This window comes from Homo sapiens, chromosome 11, assembly GCF_000001405.40.
Source record: "Homo sapiens chromosome 11, GRCh38.p14 Primary Assembly".
Lineage (NCBI taxonomy): Eukaryota > Metazoa > Chordata > Mammalia > Primates > Hominidae > Homo > Homo sapiens.
This window is the reverse complement of record NC_000011.10, coordinates 121,671,368-121,694,014: the sequence shown is the minus strand read 5'-3', so window position 1 is coordinate 121,694,014 and position 22,647 is coordinate 121,671,368. Positions and strand designations below refer to the sequence as shown.

General features: G+C 40.3%; 3 annotated features.

The window, feature by feature from the left end:
• Positions 3,968-5,167: an enhancer, noted in NCBI's record as "MED14-independent group 3 enhancer chr11:121559556-121560755 (GRCh37/hg19 assembly coordinates)". NCBI's record gives its function as "activates an origin of replication core promoter dependent on BRD2, BRD4, P300/CBP and CDK7 cofactors, and independent of MED14, by STARR-seq in HCT116 cells {active_cell/tissue: HCT116}" and the evidence as "EXISTENCE:reporter gene assay evidence [ECO:0000049][PMID:35650434]".
• Positions 4,400-4,694: an enhancer, noted in NCBI's record as "tiled region #11087; HepG2 Activating DNase matched - State 9:DNaseU". NCBI's record gives its function as "activates a minimal TATA promoter and a strong SV40 promoter by Sharpr-MPRA in HepG2 cells {active_cell/tissue: HepG2}" and the evidence as "EXISTENCE:reporter gene assay evidence [ECO:0000049][PMID:27701403]".
• Positions 21,061-21,561: an enhancer, noted in NCBI's record as "H3K4me1 hESC enhancer chr11:121543162-121543662 (GRCh37/hg19 assembly coordinates)". NCBI's record gives its function as "activates a minimal SCP1, AML or CMV promoter by ChIP-STARR-seq in primed H9 embryonic stem cells {active_cell/tissue: H9 hESC(primed)}" and the evidence as "EXISTENCE:reporter gene assay evidence [ECO:0000049][PMID:30033119]".

The window sequence follows — 22,647 nt, the reverse complement described above, 5'->3', positions numbered from 1 at the left end:
AAATGATAAGTGTTTGAGAGATGACAGATGTACTAATTACCCTCAACTGATCACTACATATTATGTTCATTGAAACATCACTATGTACCTCATGAATATGCACAATTATTATGTGTCAATTTTTTTTTGAGACAGGGTCTCACTTTATCACTCAGGCTGGAGTGCAGTGGTGTGATCTCAGCTCACTGCAGCCTCAACCTCCTGGGCTCAAGTGATTCTCCTGCCTCAGACCCCCAAGTAGCTGGGGCTAAAGGTGTGCCCCACCACATCAGGCTAATTGTGGTATTTTTTGTAGAGATGGGGTTTCACCATCTTGCCCAGGTTGCTCATGAATTCCTGAGCTCAAGCCACCTACCTTGGCTTCCCAAAGTGCTGTGATTACAGGCATGTGCCATCGCGTCTAGCCCATTATGTGTCAATTTTTTTAAAAAATTCCAAGACATCTTATTTCCAAAAATATTCCCCAACTAAGCACCCTGACACAAGAAATTCCACAATTAGAGATGTGTTTCTTTGGCCTAATTCGAAATTGCACTACTATAAACATTAATTTATTTAGCAAATATCTACTAAACATTCTATACAATGCACAGTGCTGGGGAATAGATAGATGGGGTAAATAATATGTATAAGGTTTCTGCTCTTGTAGCACTTCTATTAATCTATATCAGTCATTTAAGGATGAGTTCACCAAATTATTTCCTGGAAACACATGAAGGGGGGCTGGGTAGTGATGGCTGTCCCTAAACCAAAAGGCACAAAGACCAGGATGTCAAGACAGTGGCCACTGAGGATAAATTTCACCTACTTCATTCTTCATTCATTCACCACTCAACAAGTATATTTTGAGCATCTCTTTAGAGCCAGATACTAGAGATATAACAGTGACCAAGGCAGACACAGTCCTTGCCCTTGGAGTGTTTTGGTTTTTTTTTTTTTTTTTTTTTTTTGAGACGAAGTATCGCACTTTTGCCCAGGCTGGAGTGCAGCGGCACGATCTCAGCTCACTGCAAGCTCCGCCTCCTGGGTTCATGCCATTCTCCTGCCTCAGCCTCCCGAGTAGCTGGAACTACAGGTGCCCGCCACCACACCAGTCTAATTTTTTGTATTTTTAGTAGAGACGGGGTTTTACCGTGTTAGCCAGGATGGTCTCAATCTCCTGACCTCGTGATCCGCCCGCCTCAGCCTCCCAAAGTGCTGGGATTACAGGCGTGAGCCACCGTGCCCAGCCGGAGTGTTTATATATAATATGAGAGACAAACAAGTAACTCAATTACAGTACAACATAACTAGTGCTATTCGGGGTGGGCACAATACACGAACAGGGCACACATTAGGAGCACATACACTGGACATGGGGAAAGGAGTGAAGCAGGGAAAGCTCTGTGAAATCATAGGAGTGGGGGTGGGGGGCCCAGTATTCCTGAGAACAGGAGCAGCTGATGCACAGTCCCTGAAACAAGAGTGCTATTGTGCCCCTCAGCACCACAGTTGGAATGTGAAGTATCAAAGCACAGTTGAGGCAAGAGAGCACATCAAACTGTAGGTTGAAGCCAGGTGTCAGCTCACTGCTCTTGTAAAGGGCCAGATGGTAAATATTGCAGGCTCCATGGTCCATAGGGTTCATTGCATCGACTCTACTCTCCCCTTGTAGCAGAAAAGCAGCATAGGCAGTGAGTAAGCAAATAGGCATGGCTGTATTTCAATGAAACTGCATGTACAAGAAAAGGCAGTAGGCTGGATTTTGCCCATGAACCATAGTTTTTCAATCTGTGGTCTAACCAGGATTTGGAGCCAAACAGAGGAAACTAAGGAAACCTTGTCTGCTGGGGTTGGCTTCCCTAGAGAAAGGTGATATTTGTGGCAAAAGAATACTAGGGTAGGGAGCCGGGAGATCTGAATTCAGCTCTTGGTTGGACCACAGTCTCTATGATAATGTCCCTGAAGCACAGTTTCCTCATCTATAAAACTAAAGAGTAGAAAAGAGTCTCTAGGGTCTCTTCTCTGAAGGTCTAAGCAGGGGTATTTAACTTAGAGGACAGGGTCATCCCAAGGAGTCTATGAATAATATTGAGTGGTTCATGAACTTAGAGCCCTATTACATTTGTTTCATTAATTTCTAACTGAAATGTTGTATTTACTTCAATTACAACAAACCACAGTATCATTAGCAGTACCTATGACTTTGTCTCCAATAGAAATCATAAATATGTTCATATGTTACAGTTGGTTCATATATCTTGAAATACCAATTATATTTATCACTTCTTTTAATTTATGATAGCTATTAGACCTGCAAGTAGACCTTGTTATTTAATATGTTAATAGAGACACACACATTTCTGTATCACAAATAGGGTTTTTAAAAATATGTTTGACTTATTCTCTTTTTTCTACATCCAAGTATCCATTATTTAAAAAAATTGATAACTATATTTCAATATAATTGGTTTTTCTTTGTAATCCTATGTAATTTATTTTGCTTATTAAAAAAAAAGTATTCAGGCTTGGCATGGTGGCTCACGCCTGTAATCTCAGCATTTTGGGAGACCAAGGCAGGTAGATCATCTGAGGTCAGGCGTTGAAGACTAGCCTGGCCAACATGGTGAAACCCCACCTCTACTAAAAATTCAAAAATTAGCTGGGTGTGGTGGCGGCACGTCTGTAATCCCAGCTACTCAGGAGGCTGAGGCACAAGAAACATTTGAACCCAGGAGGCAGAGGTTGCAGTGAGCTGAGATTGCACCACTGCGCTCCAGCCTGGGCGACAGAGCAAGACTCCATCTCAAAAAACAAAAAACAAGACAAACAAACAAACAAACAAAAAACTAGTATTTTGAGAAGGAGTCCATGGCCAAAATAATGGTTAAGAACCTTGGTCCAGAGCAATGAATTATTAATTTAGATCAATTATACTTATAAAATATTTCTTACAAAAAGAAAACACACCATTTTGGGTAAAAATGTGGCAAAGAATTAGTTTCTTACACAGTTTATGAAAATATGAATTGTTACAGGCTTTTAAAAAGTAATGGAACAAATATTTATTAAAATTTTAAAATACATATATACTCTGTAATCTCAGCCCTGAGACTTAACTTATATAAATAAAAATGCCAGTACAAAAAAAAAGGATATGTAGACAAGCATTGTTCACAGTGTCAAAAAGAAACAAACACACACACCTAGAAACAAAGTGAATGCCTATTGCTAAGGGATGATTGAGAAATGATGATATATCAACAGAATGGAATATTATGTGGTCATTAAAAAGAATGAGTTGGACAGCCTGGGGTGGTGGCTCATACCTGTCATCCCAGCATTTTGGGAGGCTGAGGTGGGTCGATCACCTGAGGTCAGGAGTTCAAGACCAGCATGACCAATATGGTGAAACCCCATCTCTACTAAAAATACAAAAATTAGCCAGGTATGGTGGCATGTCCCTGCAGTTCCAGCTACTCAGGAGACTGAGACAGGAGAATTGCTTGAACCTGGGAGGCAGAGGTTGCAGTGAGCCAAGATCTCGCCACTGCACTCCAGCCTGGGTGACAGAGTGAGACTCCATCTCAGAAAACAAAAAAGAATGAGTTGGAGCTATACTAGATGCCCTGGTGGAATGTCCATGCAGTATCATTGAATGAGGAAAGGATAGAATTTTACTCCATTTAATAAAAATGCACTGTGACAAAAGACATGTTATATGTGTATGATGATGATGATGTGTGTGTGATTATGTGAGGATGGAGAAAAGTGAAGATGGAAATATATTAGTATGCTAATATGTACCTCATGGGCAGAGGTCAAGTTGATGGGAACAAGAGTGGGGAAAGGAAGAGCCAAGCAAAAACAGAAAAGGAAAACCACACTTACAACAGCAACAAAGTGCATGTATAGTATCATCACATTTTTGTGTTGACATAAAATTATATCTGTATGGTTCGAAGGAGAAATCATTCTCTCCACCCCTCAGAAAAATCTATGACATCAGATAAACAGAGGGTGAATCCTCCTTCTCTGGTATGCGACATTATCAGTTAACTTTTAAATCATCAAGTATTTATTGATTCCCTCTTTGCTCCAAACTGATACCTAACATCTTCGAGCACCTTATTTGGGAACTTAAAAGATAATCACAACACCAAAATGGTTTTATTTTACAAATAAATATGTCTATTTTGATATAAACAACTCATTCACTCATTCCTACATTCATTTCCAAAGAACCGTAAGTGTCAGGGTCTCTGAATAAAAGAAGCAAAAAAATACAGGAAGGGAAGAGTATCTTACATTCTTTCCTGTCTCTAGTTTGTTTGATTGTTGTCATTGTTGATTAATATCAAACACACACTTTTTCTCATTTCCACTACTTACTCCTTTGCAGGCTTACCAAATTCTCATAAAGATCAGGTCAATGCCCAGCACATCATAGATACTCAATAGAGGCTCACAGAGCAATGAATGCAGATCCACTTGTCACACCTTTCAAGGTCAGAAGAGAGCAACGGTGGCTCCAGCCAGGCGCCATCCTGCCCAATGACCTAGATGCTCAGGAATCTGATCAGGCCACTTTGCAGAGGCCGTCCACCCCACTCACTGCCCATCAGTTTCTATTCTGATGACCAAGAATGAGAACAAAGGAAATGAAATGCCAGCAACTTTCAGTCTTTCCTCATCCAATTGGATGGCCTCTTTGTTTTTACCTATTCAGATCTGTTTTGGGAACTGTTAACCAAAGGACAGTCTAAGCCTCTCAAACTGCTGTTCTTAACTTTTAGGAAGAAAAAGTTTCTCACAGTTTTCTCCTTGCACGAAGTGGAAGATGAGGAATAATCCTGGATGTACTGGATCCTCTATTAGAGATGGCAGCTGTTACCACCTAACGATCATTCTAATTCCTTACAGCCAGTGCTATGCATTTCAAAAGATTCCCTTCCACCTATAAAATTCCATGAGAGATTGGTAGCGTGGGCAGTGTTAAATTAGCAATCGGTGAAGAATCTGAAGCTAAGTATAGGGCAGCAACTTGCTGGAGATGACAAACTAGTGATCTAGGAACCAGGAGTTGAACCCTGGTCTTTCAAATAGTAGTAGGATTACAAAAGCCGTTGGCATTTTAGAGAAAATAAACTGATGTAGATCAATGCTGTTCAACAGAAACTTCATGGGAGCCACACGTGTAAGTTAAACATTTTCCACATTTAACACAAATTAGCCACATTCACAAAGCAAAAGGAAACAGGTGAAATTAATGGTTTTTTAATGCCAATATATTAAAATATTATCATCTCAACATACAGTCAATATAAAAATTTTTCATGAGCTATTTTACATGCTTTGTTGTACATAGAGGACATCTGAATTTGAACTGGCCCCATGTCAAGTGTGCAATAGCTACATGTGGCTGATGACTGCCAGACAAGCCAGCATATAGGTAAAGGAGGAAGAATAAGACAATAGGCTGCATTTACAAATCAAGTGAGATTTCCTTCAAAAAAAGAAATTGTGTTGCAGTGTTTCACCAGAAATGGAGCTAAGGAAAGTCAGCATCAACCCTTCTTTAGGCCCCAAAATGTGGAATTCAAAGCCGTGGTACTGTACTACATCACAGGTCACCCAGGAAAACAATATCTAGCCCTCAATAATAGAAGCAATGCCTGGAAAGGTTATGGACAAGCTGCTCCCTGCGGGATGGAAGCAGGGACAGACATACTGGGGGCTTATAAAGCCTCTGTCAATAAGAAACCGGGCTCCACAATAATTTTAAACCACAGTGAGCCTGACAGGAAACTGACCTAGTAAACCAGACAAATTACTGCTGCAGCCAGGCCAGCCTGCCTCCCACTCCAACCCGCAGTGAAACTTGAGCTGTTTGAAAGCTTTCTGGAGGGTGAGAGAGAAGAGGCATGCGGAGAGACCATGAGTGCTCTGGACAGCCTGAATCCTGAGCCCTGGAGGTCTAGGTCACTGTCATTTCCCTATGGGAGCAAGTACACAGGGGTGTGCACTTGAGGGCAGTCCATCCTGATTTGCTGGGTGTCTCTGAACTGGCTGGTTCCCCTCTCTGTCCTCTCCCTCACCCTGACAGAAGGTGACTATAATAATGCCTGCTCATCTGGGACCACATTCTTTAAGTTCGTGACCTCCTCCGATAGCAAAAGACCGTTGTCATAATATTTAAGCTACATTGGGATAAAGTGTCCAGTGGACTCCCATTAGAATCCTTGGAAAAAGCCAGAGGTATCATACTTGTAGCACACTTCGAAATGTGCTGTAAGACTACAGTAACCAAAACAGCATAGTACTGGTAAGAAAAAGGATACCTAGACCAATGGAACAGAATAAAGAACCCAGAAATAAAGCCACACGCTTACAGCTATCTGATCTTCGGCAAAGTCAACAAAAATAAGCAGTGGGGAAAAGACTGACTATTCAATAAATGGGCTGGGATAGCTGGCTAGCCATATGCAGAAGAATGAAACTGGACCCCTACCTTTTACCGTATGCAAAAAATAACTCAAGATGAATCAAAGATTTAAATGTAAGACCTGAAACTATAAGACTCCTGGAAGAAAACCTAGGAAACACCATTCTGGACATCAGTTTTGGGAAATAATTTACGACTAAGTCCTCAGAAGCAATTGCAACAGAAAGTAAAATTGACAAGTGAGAGCTAATTAAACTGAAGAGCTTCTGCACAGCAAAAGAAACTATCAACAGAGTAAACAAACAACCTACAGAATGAGAGAAAATATCCACTACTATGCATCCTACAAAGGTCTAATGTCCAGAATCCATAAGGAAATTAAACAACTCAGCAAGCAAAAAACAAAGAGCCCCATTAAAAAGTGGACAAAAGACATGAACAGACACTTCTCAAAAGAAGACATATGAGCAACAAACAAGTTTATATAAAAGTTCTCAACATCACTAATCATCAGAGAAATACAAAACAAAACCACAAGGTGATACCATCTCACACCAGTCAGAATGGCTATTATTAAAAAGTCAAAAAACAACAGATGCTAGTGAGGCTGTGGAGAAAAGAGAATACTTAGACACTATTGGTAGGAATGTAAATTAGTTCAGCAACTGTGGAAAGCAGTTTGGAGGTTTCTCAAAGAACTTAGAACAGAATGACCATTCAACCTAGCAATCCCATTACTGGGTATATACCCAAAGGAAAATAACTTGTTCTTTCCAGAAGGACATTGGCACTCCCATGTTTATTGTGTGCTATTCACAATAGCAAAGACATGGAATCAACCTAAGTTCCCATCTACAGTGGACTGGATAAAGAAAATGTGGGACATATACACTACAGAATACTATGTGGCCATAAAAAAGAATGAAATTGGCCAGGCATGGTGGCTCATGCCTGTAATCTCAGCACTTTGGGAGGCTGAGCGGGGTGGATCGCCTGAGGTCAGGAGTTCGAGACCAGACTGGCCAACATAGTGAAACCCCGTCTGTACTAAAAATACAAAAAATTATCTGGGCGTGGTGGCAGGTAACTGTAATCCCATCTACTTGGGAGGTTGAGGCAGGAGAATCGCTTAAACCTGGGAGGTGGAGGTTGCAGTGAGCCAAGATAGCGCCATTACACTCCGATCCGGCAACAAGAGCGAAACTCCATCTCGAAGAAAAAAGAAAAAAAACAAGAATGAAATCATGTCCTCTGCAGCAGCATGAATGCAGCTGGAGGCCATTATCCTAAGCAAATTAACACAGGAAAAGAAAACCAGATAGTACATGTTCTTAGTTATAAGTGGGAGCTAAACACAGGTACTCATGGACATAAAGATGGCAACAATATACACTGGGGACTATTAGAGGGTGGAAGGAGATGGGGAGGGTTGAAAAACCAACTATTGGCTACCATGCTCATTACCTGAGTGATAGGATCAATCGTTCCCCAAACCTCAGCATCACACAATATACTCATGTAGCAAGCCTGCACATGTACCCTCTGAATCTAAAATAGAAGTTGAAATCATTTTTTAAAAAAAGAAATTGAAAAAAGAATCCTTGGGACTCGATTCCTGGCAAGAAGGCTATAGGGATGCAGAAGAAACCACTGGAAAACAAAAGTTATAATATAAAAGTGTAAAAATAGATTTGGAGGGCATCAGAAGGTCCAAGTGGGTAGGAAACGGCCTTTTTGTCTGGAGTTTACTCCACTTCTATCCCCTTTGTAGACAGGAAACCTGGGGCCCTGCTCGATGATTATAAACAGAAAACTGTAAACTTGGACAAAGGTGGGGCAAATCAAAATCTACTGAAATAGGACACCTGGGATTATTCAAATGGCACTGGGCTGGTTAGTTAGAAGACTTGAGCAAATCCCAGAAGTGCTCCAAGTCCCATGACGTCTCTACAAAGTGCGTAAGGATGCCTTCCACCTCTGATGTTCTCTGAATCTGTTTCTGAACCCTCTGCACATTGTGTGCATGCTACAGGCACTTAAACACTCACTAAATGGGCAACCCAGTGTATTCCACACAGGACAGCAAGATGACTCTAGTATAATATTCTCCTGACTCTCACTCAAAATACTAAGATCCATTCTATGGGAAGGACCAGGTGCATTGTGGGAATGGACAGAGCTGAGCTCAAGGAGCCCTGTCATGTGAGGAGCTCAGAGCCTTGGCACCCCTGGTACTGCTCTCCTGCTTCCACCTCCACCTGGGTCCTGAGCTCCAGAATTGGGTTCCTTTCAGTCCATTTGTGTCCCCTCAATCTGTGGAATTTCTCAAATGCTCCAGATTTTCTGGCTAGTTTAACAGCCTTATGGAAGGGTTGAAATCTCGAATTTAAACTGTCAATGCTGCTTAAGGTCTAACAAAGCCTCAACGATCTAGCTGAATCCAGGTCCCTTATAAGGATGCAACTGAATGCCGTAGTCATTTGGTTTTTGCAAATTCTTCTCTTTCTATTGATGTTAAGAAACTTTGACATAATACTAGAAGGCAACTAAACACGCAATGAAAATAAGGCAACGCAATTTCTTGGTAAACCCTTGAATTTTAATTCCTATCAGTCATGAAAGCTCAAACCAGTGATTCTGGGAGGTAAGTGTTCTAACATAACCTGTGGGCACCATGCTGGGAGAAACTATCAAGACACCCACCTTCCTCATGTGTCTTCACCCTGATTTCTGATGTCAAATTGCACAACTTTCTTGAATCCCTGAGCCTCAGTTTCACCATCTGCAAAAAGAAGACAGTAACCTATTTTCTACCTAGCAACCTATCAATATAATTTATTGTATCAATAATATAATATTAGAGTAACTTGAATTGAGTTAAAAATTTTGTAAGGACTGTGATAAGTTTACAGAGGGATTTTTTTCTCCTTTATCTTTCAAAAGTTTTGAAATGTAATCATATTTCACTCCCCAAAATTAATTTATGACAAATTTTAACATAAAGTAACTTGAAATTGATGAATGCCATATGAGGGCAAATCACAGCCAAACCTTAATTATTCATTTGCCACTGGATTCACAAAGTCTATTATCTACAATTAATTTTTAAAATCCAAATGGAATTTCCCTGGTCACTAAGAATACTTTAGAGACAATCTCAATCAATCAGTCAATCACAAAATATGAATACATGTATTGATTTTGAACTGTGAATTCGGCACTGCAGAAAACATCTGAGAAGGAAGGAGAGGACCTTCAGGTCCTGACCTGAAGGAATCCCAGTGATGTTGGAAAAACAAGACTAAAAATTATCACAAAATGCAAATGGCAAAACTGTGGCCATGACTAAGGGCCAAACCGTAGGGAACAAATTCTAGAGATGAGTAGATGTTCAGAGCAACTGTGTACAATGTTACGAAAAATTGCGATTAAGTGAATCCTTAAAAAATGTATGACATCTATCTATGAGATAGAAGGAGGAAAATAAACTAATATTTGCTGACATCTACTATTCCCCAACACTGTTGTAGGTGATTTCACACATGTAATATGATTGGCTCCCCACAACTTCCCTATGAGACAAGAATTTTTAGTTTCCATTTGACAGATGAGGAAGCTGAGCCTCAATTATTGTGCTGTGTTTATGGTATAATGCAGGAACCTGCCTGATTACCAGGGACACTTGTGCCCTATGCCTGATGACATAATGAAACCTAAGCTAGAATAAAGAGGGGCCAGATAATAGACAGCTGTGTGGTCCAATATGGTAGCCACCAGCCAATGCGCCTCTGGACAATTTGAGACGTGTCTGGTGCAACTAAAGAACTAAAACCGTGTGAAATATTTTTTTGTTAAACACAACTACTTTGTTTTGATAGGGCTACATTTTCCTTTAAACATTGAACATTTAGCTTCCAAATTAAGAAGTGTTACAAGTTTTAAAATACACACTGAATTTCAGAAACTCCGTATAAAAAAAGGAATGTAAAAAATCTTATAATAAGCTTTTAATATCGATTGAATGTTAAAATGATAATGTTTTGGATATGTTGAGTGAAATAAGATATTGTAATAAAAATCATTTCACCTATTTCTTCTTACATTTTTATGTGACCACTAGAATATTTTCAGTTACAAACGTGGCTCTCCTTATATTTCTCTTGAACAACACTGAAGCAGAGGATATCAGATGCCAGGCAGTGGCAGGATGGAGAATAAAGTACAGCAAGGAGTAAGAGTGATGGTCTGTCTTCCTCTACAATATGAGATCCATATATTCTCTATTTAGAATACAGTAGAGGCCTTGTTTCTATTCACCGCTGTATCCTCACTACATCCTCACTACATCCTCTGGCATATAGTGAATGCTCACTACATCCTCTGGCATATAATGAATGCTCAGTACATTTCGACTCTGAATTCTCGCCATTGGTACCACCACCATTCTAACCACTGAAGCTAGAAAGCTTGGTGCTCTGTTGGCTCTCAACTGTCTGCCATCTTTTGTCAGTCCCAAGACCTGTCATTTCTCCCTCTGTGAGGGCCCCAATATCCATCCATTGTTTCCTATTTCCTATGTCTCCCACCCCTGCCTCACCCCACATCCCACCTCACTAGGTGCTAGTGCCTAAATTACCTTAATTGCTTCATAACTGCTCTCTCTGCCTCTCTCTCCCTCCAATACACTCTTCTCATCACTGCCAAATTAATTCTTCTCAACCATCACTTTCACTTTCAAAGTTCCTTAAAAGCAAGAAATGGGTCTTACTTATCTTGGAATACCCTGTGTATGGCACTCAGTAGGTGCTAAAGAACTGTGGAAAAAAAAAGTTTCATAAATTTATTTATTTATTTAGAGAGAGAGTCTCGCTGTGTCACCCACGCTGGAGTGCAGTGGCATGATCTCAGCTCACTGCAACCTCTGCCTCCCGGGTCCAAGAGCTGGGATTACAGGTGTGTGTCACCACGCCTGGCTAACTTTTTTGTATTTTCAGCAGAAACAAAGTTTCACCATGTTGACCAGGCTGGTCTCGAACTCCTGGACTCAAGTGATCTGCCTGCCTCTACCTCCCGCAGTGTTGGGATTACAGGCATGAGACACCGTGCTTGGCTGTTGTATAATTCACGTTTGTCCATAATGACTAAAAATTACTTTTATCCTGTCAGTTCCATGCTCAGAACCCTTTAGGATTCCCCAACAACCAACAAAACAAAGTTCAAAATCAGCCTATGATTCGTGGCCCATTATGATCTGGGGATGCCCACCTTTTGGTCCTAGCTCCTCCACATTCATCCTTCCCTCCCTGATAACACCCCTCTCTCCTGCTTACTTCTGCTGATGCTGTTCTTCACTCCCTTGGGGCACCTTCCCTCATCCATTTATCCAACTTCTACCCACCCTTCAAAGTCTGGATCAATCCCCACTTCTCCATCAAGGACTCTCCAAATCATATCATGCAAAAGTGAGCATCCCCTGCCCTGTCCTCCTGGAGATCCTACCAGTAGCATTAGTCATTTGGCATTTAGCACACGCTGACATTCATTCATTTATCATTCATTTATTCAACAGATACTTATCAGACCATTATCACATAGTATTAACATTTTCTTCCCATACTTGCACATTATCTATTCAATTATGTTATAAACTCTTTGGAGGAGAGCACTAAGATTTTAAACTTATTTGAATGTACACATTCATATATATGTTACATTACTGATCAAAGAGAATGTGGTCTGTTTCATGCCTCTATGTTGTTATACATATTGTTCCATTTGCCTAGAACATCCTCTCTCCAGCTGTCATGATTCCCATCTGTCAGGCAAATTCTTACTCATCTTTAAATAAACAAGTGAGTCTGATCTCTCCCTCCTTTGGGTGTCCTCTACCAACAACACATCACACTTGTCCAGCTCTTATCCTCATGATTTTCTTGTCTGTCTTGTTTGGTGAATGATTCTCCCTCCTGAAACCACTAACAATAGTATTTTATGATATACTCAAGTACTATATGTTCTTCACAGGAAAAGCATTAATTAAATTTATTCAGGTGTTGTAGTCATGGTTGTACCAAATATATCTATGAACTTTAAACATACATTCTCATTACTAGTCCCTTATGTAGTAAAATGTGTTTCCTTCCTTTCAACCCTCTCAACATCCATGTGATGTTGCTACAAAACATCCCCATATTGCATTTGAACTAATAAGTTCTGCAGCTTCATGCTTCTTTTGCTGTTTTTCATATTATTCCATTTGCCTGGAATGCCCTAAGAATAGAAAGAGATTAAATGAATCAGTAAAACATACTCAATGTACACTGAACAGATCAGCCTGGCCAACATGGTGAAACCCCATCTCTACTAAAACTACAAAAAACTAGCCAGACGTGGTGGTGCACATTTGTAATCCCAGCTACTCGGAGGCTGAGGCTGGAGAATTGCTTGAACCTGGGAGGTGGAGGTTGCAGTGAGCCGGGATTGCGTCACTGCACTCCACACCGGGCAACAGAGTGAGACTCCGTCTCAAAAAAAAAAAAAAAAAAAAAAAAAGGACGCTGAAGGACCCCATATTTGTTCATATTCGGCATTCCTTGGGTACTTCAAATGATATTTAGAAACAAAAAAAGAGTTCAGTTTTTTGGTTAAAAGAAAATTCTGAGAAATCACGAAGCTCAAGACAGGTGATGTTAAGGATAGCCCAGTGGTTCAACTGGTATTTTCTAATCAAACTTCTTTGATTCAAATTTCAGCTCCATCTCTTTCTGGTTATGTGGCCTGAAGCATGTTATTTTATATCTCGAATTCTCAATTTCTTCAACTATTAAGTGAGGATAATAGAAGAACTCATATTATTGTAATGATTCAAAACTCACAGTATTATGATGACTCAAAAAGATAAGGTATATAAAACATGTAGCCTGCTTCCAGGCACACAGTAAGCACTTCATAAGCAAATAAATGTTATTTATAAATATTATGCCAAAGACCAAAAACAGATAAATATTTTCATATTTCTAAAAAGCATATTCCAAAACCTGCTTAATGGTAAACATTACATTCTCTGGAAAAATCCTTAAAACGTCATTAAATGTCTGACTTACGAAGAGAAAGAGATGTGATCCCTATAGGCCAGCATGGGTTCATTATGAATAAGTCAAATCCACTAATCTTATTTCTGTTTGAAAAGGCTTATCAGACAAGTGAATTAATGTGATCATACAGAGGTCATATATATTTTTTGTTGGTTTTGTACTCTTCTGGTGATTTCTTTAAAGAAATACAGACAAAATGAAAATTCTGTTATGTAAGCTGATTAAACCTGTATCAATGGCCATGATGGAGTAACTGGTACCAGGTTTGCCCTCCTATAGTAAATAACTTAAAAACTGGACAAAAAAAAACAATTATTTTCAAACATTAGAAAATAGGCAATGCTGGACTGCGATCTCTGAGAAAAGAGATGCAAACTAGATGAGCTATAGAAGAGGATGGGCATTCTGTCTGGAAGCATTTTCAAGGCCACAGCAGACAGGAAAGGAGCCCAAGCAAAGCACAGCATTCTTGCTGAATTGAGGAGGCAGAAATCAGAGTTTGAGCAGGCAGGGGCAGCTGGAATTTATGAAATAGAATACAACAGAGCAGGAATTCTACACAGGAAAAGAGCTCCAGAAATTTGCATTGAGTCTTTTATTAAGTATTAAGCTGCATATTTTCAGACAGAAGCTCTATGAGGCCAGGAAAACAACAAATATTGGGGAGTGGTAAACTAAACAATTTCCAGAGCTCACATGGGCTGGAAGATAGTTAAGCTCCAGCCAGCCAGCATGAAGAGAGTTCATAGAACCTCAGGGCATTTAGCAGAGACTACAGAAGAACCACACCTTAGCAGTAATAAGATAAAACTACCGTGAGGGTAAAGACTATTCTAGACCCAAGTTTTAAAAATTTTTACACAAATCTCAACACAGTCAGTGTGATCCACAAGTAACTTAATAGTCTGCCAAAACAAAATTCACCGGTCTTTAAAGGAAAACAACAAAATCCAAGACACTCAACAATGTAGCTTTCACAATGTACAACACCCAATGGACACCCTACACCAGAAATGGTTAGATATGGAACCCATAGTCAGTTTAAAAAAAAAAAAAAACAGGCAATAAGAACAGTGACAGAACAGATAGAAATTATGAAAGTAGCAGACAACAACTTTTAAATGGCTAATATAAACAAGTTTAATGATTTAAGAGAGAATATAAAAGTATAAATTAAAAATATGAAAAAAAATCAAAATGGAACTTCCAGAGCTGAAAAATATTATATCTGAAATAAAAAATTTACTAAATAGACTTACCTAAAGCAGACTAGACATTGCAGTAAAAAAGACCAGTTCTGTTTTAAGAACTTGCCTGAAGTTCTTTTAGGCAAGGCAATAGAAATTATCCAAATTGAAGCAGAGGAAAGAAAAAAAGAATTAGAAAAAAAATGAACATAACATCAGTGACTTTCAAGACAAGAGGAAGCAGTCTAGCATGTGTGTAATTTGAGTCCTAGAAGGACAAACATAAAATATTATTTAAATAAATAATGGTTACAAATTTACCAAATTTGATGAAAATTATAAATCCAGAGATCCAAGACACTCGACAAAGAGCATGTAGAATAAAAATAATTGGACACACCAGAGTGAAACTGTATAAATCAAAGATAAAGAGAAAATTGCAAAAGCACTTAGAGAAAAAATATATACAAAGAAGCAAAATAATACTGACTGCAGACTTTCCAAAAAAAAAAAGTAAGCCTGAAGGAAATTGAATGACACTTTTAAAGTGCTGAAAGAAAATGGTCAATCCAGAATTCTATATCCATTGAAAATCTGTCTCAAAAATGGAGGCAAAATAAAGACATTTTTTTAAAACAAAAGCTAAAAGAATCTGTCATCAGCCTATCTGCATACAAAAATATTAAAGAAGTTTAGGCTGAAGGAAAATGACATCAAATGGAAACTGCGATCTACACAAAGAAATGAAGAGCATCAAAATGGTAAGTGTATGAATATAAAATATATTTAAGTGAATTTAATTAAAGACATTCTTTTCAAAAATGTAAAACTTTCCCAAAAAGCAAACTCCCACCTCAGATGGTTTCCGTAGTCAGTTAGTTGAAACTTACAAGGAAAAAATAATACTTTTTTCACAGAATATTTTTTAGAAAACAAAAAAGGGGAAACATTTGCCAACTCATTTTATAGGACAGTAATAATGTGATACCCAAACCAAATAATAAAATTACAAGAAAAAAATTCAAACTAATATCCTTCATAAATATAAACACAAAAGTGTTAGCAAAATATTCGCTAATTAAATTCAGCAATGTATAAAAATCATAATGCATCATAACCAAACAGGATTTATACCAAGAATGTAATACTGATTTAACATTTGAAAATCAGCCACTGAAATTTGCCATAAAATTTTGCCACAAAATAAAGGAGAAAATTACATGATCATCTCTATAGATGCAGAAAAAGCACTTGACAAAATTCAACATTCATTCATGATAAAAACTCTCAGTAAACTGAGACTAGAAGCAAACTTTCTTCAACCTGGTAAAGGATGTCTATGAAAACCTACAGTTAACATCATACTTAATGCTGAACACTAAACTCTTTCCCCCTAAGGTTTGTAACAAGGCAAAAATATAAGCTCTCACTACTTTTAGTCAACTTTGTACTGGAGGTTCCAGCCAGCGAAATGAGAAAAGAAAAAGATATAAAAAGATAGTTGTTGGAAAGAAAGGCGTGAAACTGCTATTATTTAGAGGCAATATCACGTACGGAGAAAATTCTAAGGAACCTAAGAAGTCGTTGAAACTAAGTAAATTTGGAATATCAGAGGATGCTAGGTCAACACACAATAGAGGATGCTAGGTCAGAGGATGTTAGGAAAGAGTCAGTTATATTTCTATACACAAAATAAAAAATAATATTTAAAAGCAATATAATTTGCCATAGCATTCAAAAACATGATATAATAAGGGATAAGTATAAAAATCTTTTCAAGACCTGCACACTGACAATGGCAAAGCAAAAACATTGTTGAGAGAAATTGGAGAAGAAAGCCAAGATATGCCATGTTCATGGATTGAAAGACTAAATGTTATCACTCTCCCAAATTGATCTATAGGATCCGTATAATTATTTATTTATTTATTTATTTATTTATTTTGAGATGGAGCTTCACTCTATTGTCCAGGCTGAAGTGCAATGGCACAATCTCGGCTCACTGCAACTTCCTCCTCCTGGGCTCAAGGGCTCAAGTGATTCTCCTGCCTCAGCCTCCCGAGCAGCTGAGATTACAGGTGTGCACCACCACGCCTGGCTAATTTTTGTATTTTTAGTAGAGATGGGGTTTCACCCTGTTGGCCAGGCTGGTCTCAAACTTCTGACCTTGGGTGATCCACCTGCCTTGGCCTCCCAAAGTGCTGGGATTACAGGCATGAGCCACTGCACCCAGCCAGGATCCATATAATTTTGAGCAAAATTATAAAAGTTTTTTTTTGTAGAATTTGACAGCTGGTTCTAATATTTATAGGGAAATAAAAAATCCATAATGTATAATATAATTTTGTATAAAGAACAAAGTTGGAGAATTTATGCTGTCTGATTTTATATTTACTAGGAAATGACACTAACCAGTGAGGTTTGTGCTCACACATTGGTGTGAGGTCAGGCATACAAATCAATGGAGAGTATATAGGGTCCAGAAACAGACCCACACTCATATCTGGTCAGTTGATTTTTCAACCCTTTGGTCAGTTCATTCAAACAGTTGAACTGCCAAGGTAATTCAATGGGGGAAAAAGCAGTCTTTTCAAAAAACTGTGTTAGAATAACCAGATGTTTGTGAAGAAAAACTTAAATCTTGGCTTTTATTTCACATCACATACAAAAAAGTAGCTCAAAGTCCGTCACTAAATTCAACTTAAAAGTTACAACTACAAAACTTCAAGAAAGAAACAGTAGAAAATGTTATCAATCTCAGGGTAGGCAATGATTCCATAATAAAGGCAAGTAAAGCATTAATCATATAAGAAAAAATAATCAATTAAGCTCCATCAAAATTAAATATGGCTGTTCTGATCTTTAATACTATTAAGAAAATAAAAAGAAAAGCTACAAATCAGGTGGAAAGAAAAACAAAACAAAACAACAATGACATTATATATATATATATATATATACACACACACACATAGGGAGAGAAGAGAGAGAAGCTCAACCTCATTAGTAATCATGGAAATAAAAATTAATTGCCCAATAAATTATCACCGCACACAATACCAAATGTTGGCAAGTATGTAGAACAACTGGGACTCTCAGCCAAGGCATGGCAGAGATGAGCTGCAAACTCCAGGTGAGGGCTAGACACCGAATAGATCTGTTTACTGCATCTCCAGCAAGGCATGGGAGAAGGCTTCAAGGGCCCTTTCCCAGCTCATGCCGCCAGCACTTTGCACCTGCTTACAAAGAAACCAGGAAGCCAGAGTGCATACGTATTGGTGCCTAGGACTCAGGGTTCAGGGTGCTAGACAGGCAATGCAAGGTGCACTCTCATACACTGCTGACAGGAGGGTAAAATCTGACAACTACTTTGGAAAACTGGCAGTTGCTTATACAGTTAAGCATACACTTACCTTATGACGTAAAAATTCCTCGCTTAGGCATTTACTCAAGGGAAGTGAAATGAATGGACTCATACACAAGGACACACAGACTCACAAGGACTCATACAGGAATATTTGAGACTGAGTTAATCACGATAGCCAAAAACTGGACATAACCCAAATGTCCATCGAGAGGGGAGTGCATAAACACATTGTGACAAATTTACACAGTGGAGTATTCTTTAGAAATAAAAAGAACAAATTACTTATATATGCTACCTCATGAGCGAGTCTCACAAACATTATGCTGAGTAAAAATGGCTGGATACAAATAGTACATAATGTATGATTCCACTTATGTGAAACTCTAGAACAGGCAATACTGTACTAATCAATAGAGACAGAAGACAGAGCTGTGGTTGCCTGGATCCAGGAAGGGGTGAAAAATGCACACAACGCGACATGGTAGATGGCAGAAATGTTCCGTCTTGACTGTGGCGATGCTTGCAGGGGTGCATGTGTTGGTCAAAACTCATCAAAATGTGCACTTTAAATGGGTTCATTTTAATCTATGTGATTTTTATGTAAATTATACCTCAATAATATTGACTTTCAATAATCAAAAAAAGATTCTATAAAATGGATTAAAAGTACGGGGCTTTGTTCTTGACCTTGCCCTGTTCCACGTTTTCATATGGCAAGAAATCCTACTTATTAGATTTACTGGTGGCACTTAGTTGTGAGAGTTTCTTTTATTTGTTTATCCAACAAATGTTCTTTAAGCATCCATGTTGTGGTAGATATTTAAGACAATAATGATGAAGAAAAGAATGAGGTTTCTATTCTCATGGTATTACCGTCTTATAGGGGAAGCAGACATTAATTGAACAAGTAGAATGTATGATTTCAAGGTGAAAGAAGCTGAACAATTCTATGGGACCACATACAAAGGGACCTGGCCTAGCCCAGGAGAGCAGGGGAAGCCTCCTTGAGAAAATGACCATCCAGTTAGACGCTTAAGGATGAGTAGGTATGACTTCATCCAATTGGGGGAGGGGATGCATTTTGCATTTGCAAAGTCCCTGTGTGGGAGAGGGAAGCATTTTGAAGGAAGTATAGGAAGATCAGTGTGGTTGGAACTCTAAGAACAACAAAGCAAGATGAAGTGCAAAAGGCAGGAAGTCATATCCAAGCCATGTCCTGAGAACCATGAAAAGCCAGCCAGGGGTCCTACGCAGGAGCAAGAGTATTAACCAAACAGTCTGGGTGAGAGAATTGGCAACTTCTGCTAGGCCGATGGCAGTGGAGAGGGAGGAAGTGGATGCATTTGAAAAATAGCTAGGAGGTAAAAAGGACAGTTAGTGAGGGATTAGATTTGGAGGATGAGAGACAAGGAGGTGTCAAGGATAACAGCCAGCTCTCTTCCTTGGGCAACACTGAATGGAAGCATCTCCATTCTATATGAAGGTAAAGAGGCACTCAGGGGATTTTGAGGCAAAGATGAGGAACATATTCAACCTCACGTACCTAGAGGATGCTGATAGGAAAAAGTCCAGATTACTCCACATGGTGTCCTGAAGTTTGGGACATCCAGGCTGGAAGTATGGAGATGGCACCCATCAGAATAGAGCAAAACCTTTGGGAGGATGAGGTCACAGAAACAGAGCTGTAAGGAGAGAAGAGTAGATCCTGTAACAGAGCCCAGAGGAGAACCAGTCCTTAAGTGCCAGGCCAGAAAGAGCAGGGTCCACAAAGAACAATGAGAAGGAGTGCCCAGGAAGTGGGAAGAAAAACAGAAAAATGTTATACTGCAAAAACCAAGAGGGTGCAGCTGGGGATGGCATCCCTTCTAACTCAAGGTTCCAGAACCATGCAGAAGGTGAGTGGGAGGGTAGTGATGGCAATGTCTAACATGATTGAGTGCTTACTGTATACCCTGGCACTACTCTAAGCTCTTTATGAGAATGATCTCATGTCATCACAACAGTGGCATTGCGTAGGAAAAGGGATCACACTCATCTAAGATCTCTCTGCCAGAGCCAGGATGAATACAAGACTCCTGACTTCTGAGCCAGTACTCCTTGCTCCTCTTGCCTTTTCACTGGCCTAGCCTACCTGGCCATCTCTTTCTCCAAAACTGCCCCTCAGGCTAGGTGACCTAAGTCTTCTGTACCATGGGATGTGATACTCATCAAAGATATTTGAGACTTCGGACTTCAGGGTCTTCTTCCTGGCCCACGTTGAAGCCAGCTGACTCTGACCAGAAGGGGAGGCCACTGTCAAGCAAGTCACCAGAGAAAGAGCATCTACTCCTGCAGGAACCTGGTGCAGCACCCCGTCCACCTACCCACTTCGGGATTCCTCCTTTATCACGCAATTGATGGCACAATTTCTGCAGGAAAATTCACTGTCACTGCAACCTGCTGTGGGTGGATAAAGGGGAATATCTCTAGCTCTGCACCAAAAGTGGCCTTCCCTGCACTCTCCCCATTCTTTCACTATCCCATCCCTTAGGTTGGCATCATTCTCTTTCCTTCCCAGGCCTTATATAGTCATGAAGTTTCACAAGAACTCAGGCTGACTGTGACTGTCTGCCAGCACCTCTAACCACTCTACTGCCAAGGCATGGCTGAAGCAAGCTGCAAACTCCGGTCAGGGCCAGACACCAAATAGATCTATTTTCTGTGTCCCAGGCACCCGAGAAGGCCTCAGGGGCCCTTTCCCAGCTCATGCCGCCAGCACTTCACACATGCTTACAAGGAAACCAGGAAGCCAGTGTGCATAGGTGCCGGTGCCTAGCACTGAGGGGCCAGGGTGCTGGGCAGGCAATGCACAGTGCCCGTGGATGCCTGGCAGGTGCTGAGCACCCACCCTTCTCCCGCTTGCTGCCTGCACAGGCTGCAGTTCTTTGTGTCTGAGTTTCTGCTCCCTGTCTGCACTAGACTGGGTGGGGTGGGGAAGCCGGAAGTGTCAAATCAGCATCTGGGTCTTGAGAAATGCCTAGAAGTGGACATTTGCATTAGAAACTTTGCCCGTTTGGACAGAACAAGTCTGCCTGTGCAGTTGTTTTCCTCTCCTGGCCTCCTTCCCTCCCCCGCACCCACTCCTTATCACCTTAGCTCCCCTTTCTGATTTCTCTACCAACCCCCTCCCTCCCTGGTCATCTGGATCTCGTTGTTCTTGCATTTCCCCAGCTGCCTGTCTGCATTAGCAGCCCTGCACGTGCACAGACACACACGTGCTCCCGGCACCCCCACCCTGTGGCTCTTTACCCCAACAACCCCACACCTTTTGCAAATTCACAAGGCAATTCCTTCCTTGGCTCCAGGACCCCCTTAACAGAATGGATTCTTTATTCCAAAGTAGGAATAGAAAGGGCCTTGGGTATAGTTAACTTGAGTGAGAGAAGCCACCAGGAAGGGGTGCATTTTTGTATGGGAGAGTGGGTGGGCGGCTTGTGTGGTTTGCAGTATTTTAGTCCTTTCTCAAAGACTATACCATATGAACAATCTACTTCTCCACTTCAGGGGCTTCCCTAAATGAAGACTGTTGAAAGGAACATATAGGGAACACCCTTAACAAAATGTGTTTCCCTCACTTCACCTAAAGGCCTTTTGCTGCATTCAATTACTGTTCATTTTATATTGCTTATGTTAACCAATGTGTTGAAAAAGATCAGCAAAAATCTAAGACATTGTCACTTTAAGAATCTAGACTAAAACACCTTAAATGAACTCTGAAGCAGACAGATGAAAAAAAAAAAAAGCCCTTCTCTGGCCCTTGCTGCTTTTGCCATTATTCATGATGTAATTTTTCAGGTGTTAGTTTGGCAGAGAAAGATTGGAACAGAGCTTGTTGCTAGGACATGAATGAAGAAGAGGGATCCCATTGGTTCTTTGGGACTTGGCAGAAACCAATGGGAATGAAGGGGATGGAGGGGGGAAAAAAGCCACCAAAAGGAAAAAAAAAAAGACTCTCCCGGCTGGACTATTATTGCGTTTTCTATGTTAAAGTGGGGTATTGTAAATTTATGGGAGGTTTCGTTGGTCTATTTTTTTAAGGTGTAGGTGGGTAGTGGTGCTCGATGGACCAAGGCTGAGAATGAGCAATTAAGAGGCAGCTTTGTTCAGACTGTCCTGGGTTTCACTAATAGCTCACTGTTACTGGCAGTCTGGAGAGGTATGCAAACGAGGCCGGGTACATTTCACACCCTCGCCATGCTGCCACACACCGTTTGGGGAATACAAGTATACTAGAGCTGGAGGCAGGGATGAGGGTGGAGGGGCACTGGGATGCTTCCTCCAGCCTCGAGATTAGGTGAACCCCAAACAACCTTTTACAATGTAAGTGAAACTGCTCTGTGTGTGGAAACGAGGGGCCCAACGTGTTCCCTGCCCAACGCTTCTGAGCCGCCTCCCAATACGCTGCCCTAAGCATTTCACTGAGTCAGGGCAAGATGTGGCCCAGCGAAACCTCTAGTTCTGATAACAAGCATGTGGGCTCATGTGTTATCAGTGCAGCAGAGAATGTCACTGGGACTTCCAGACGGAGGCTATAAA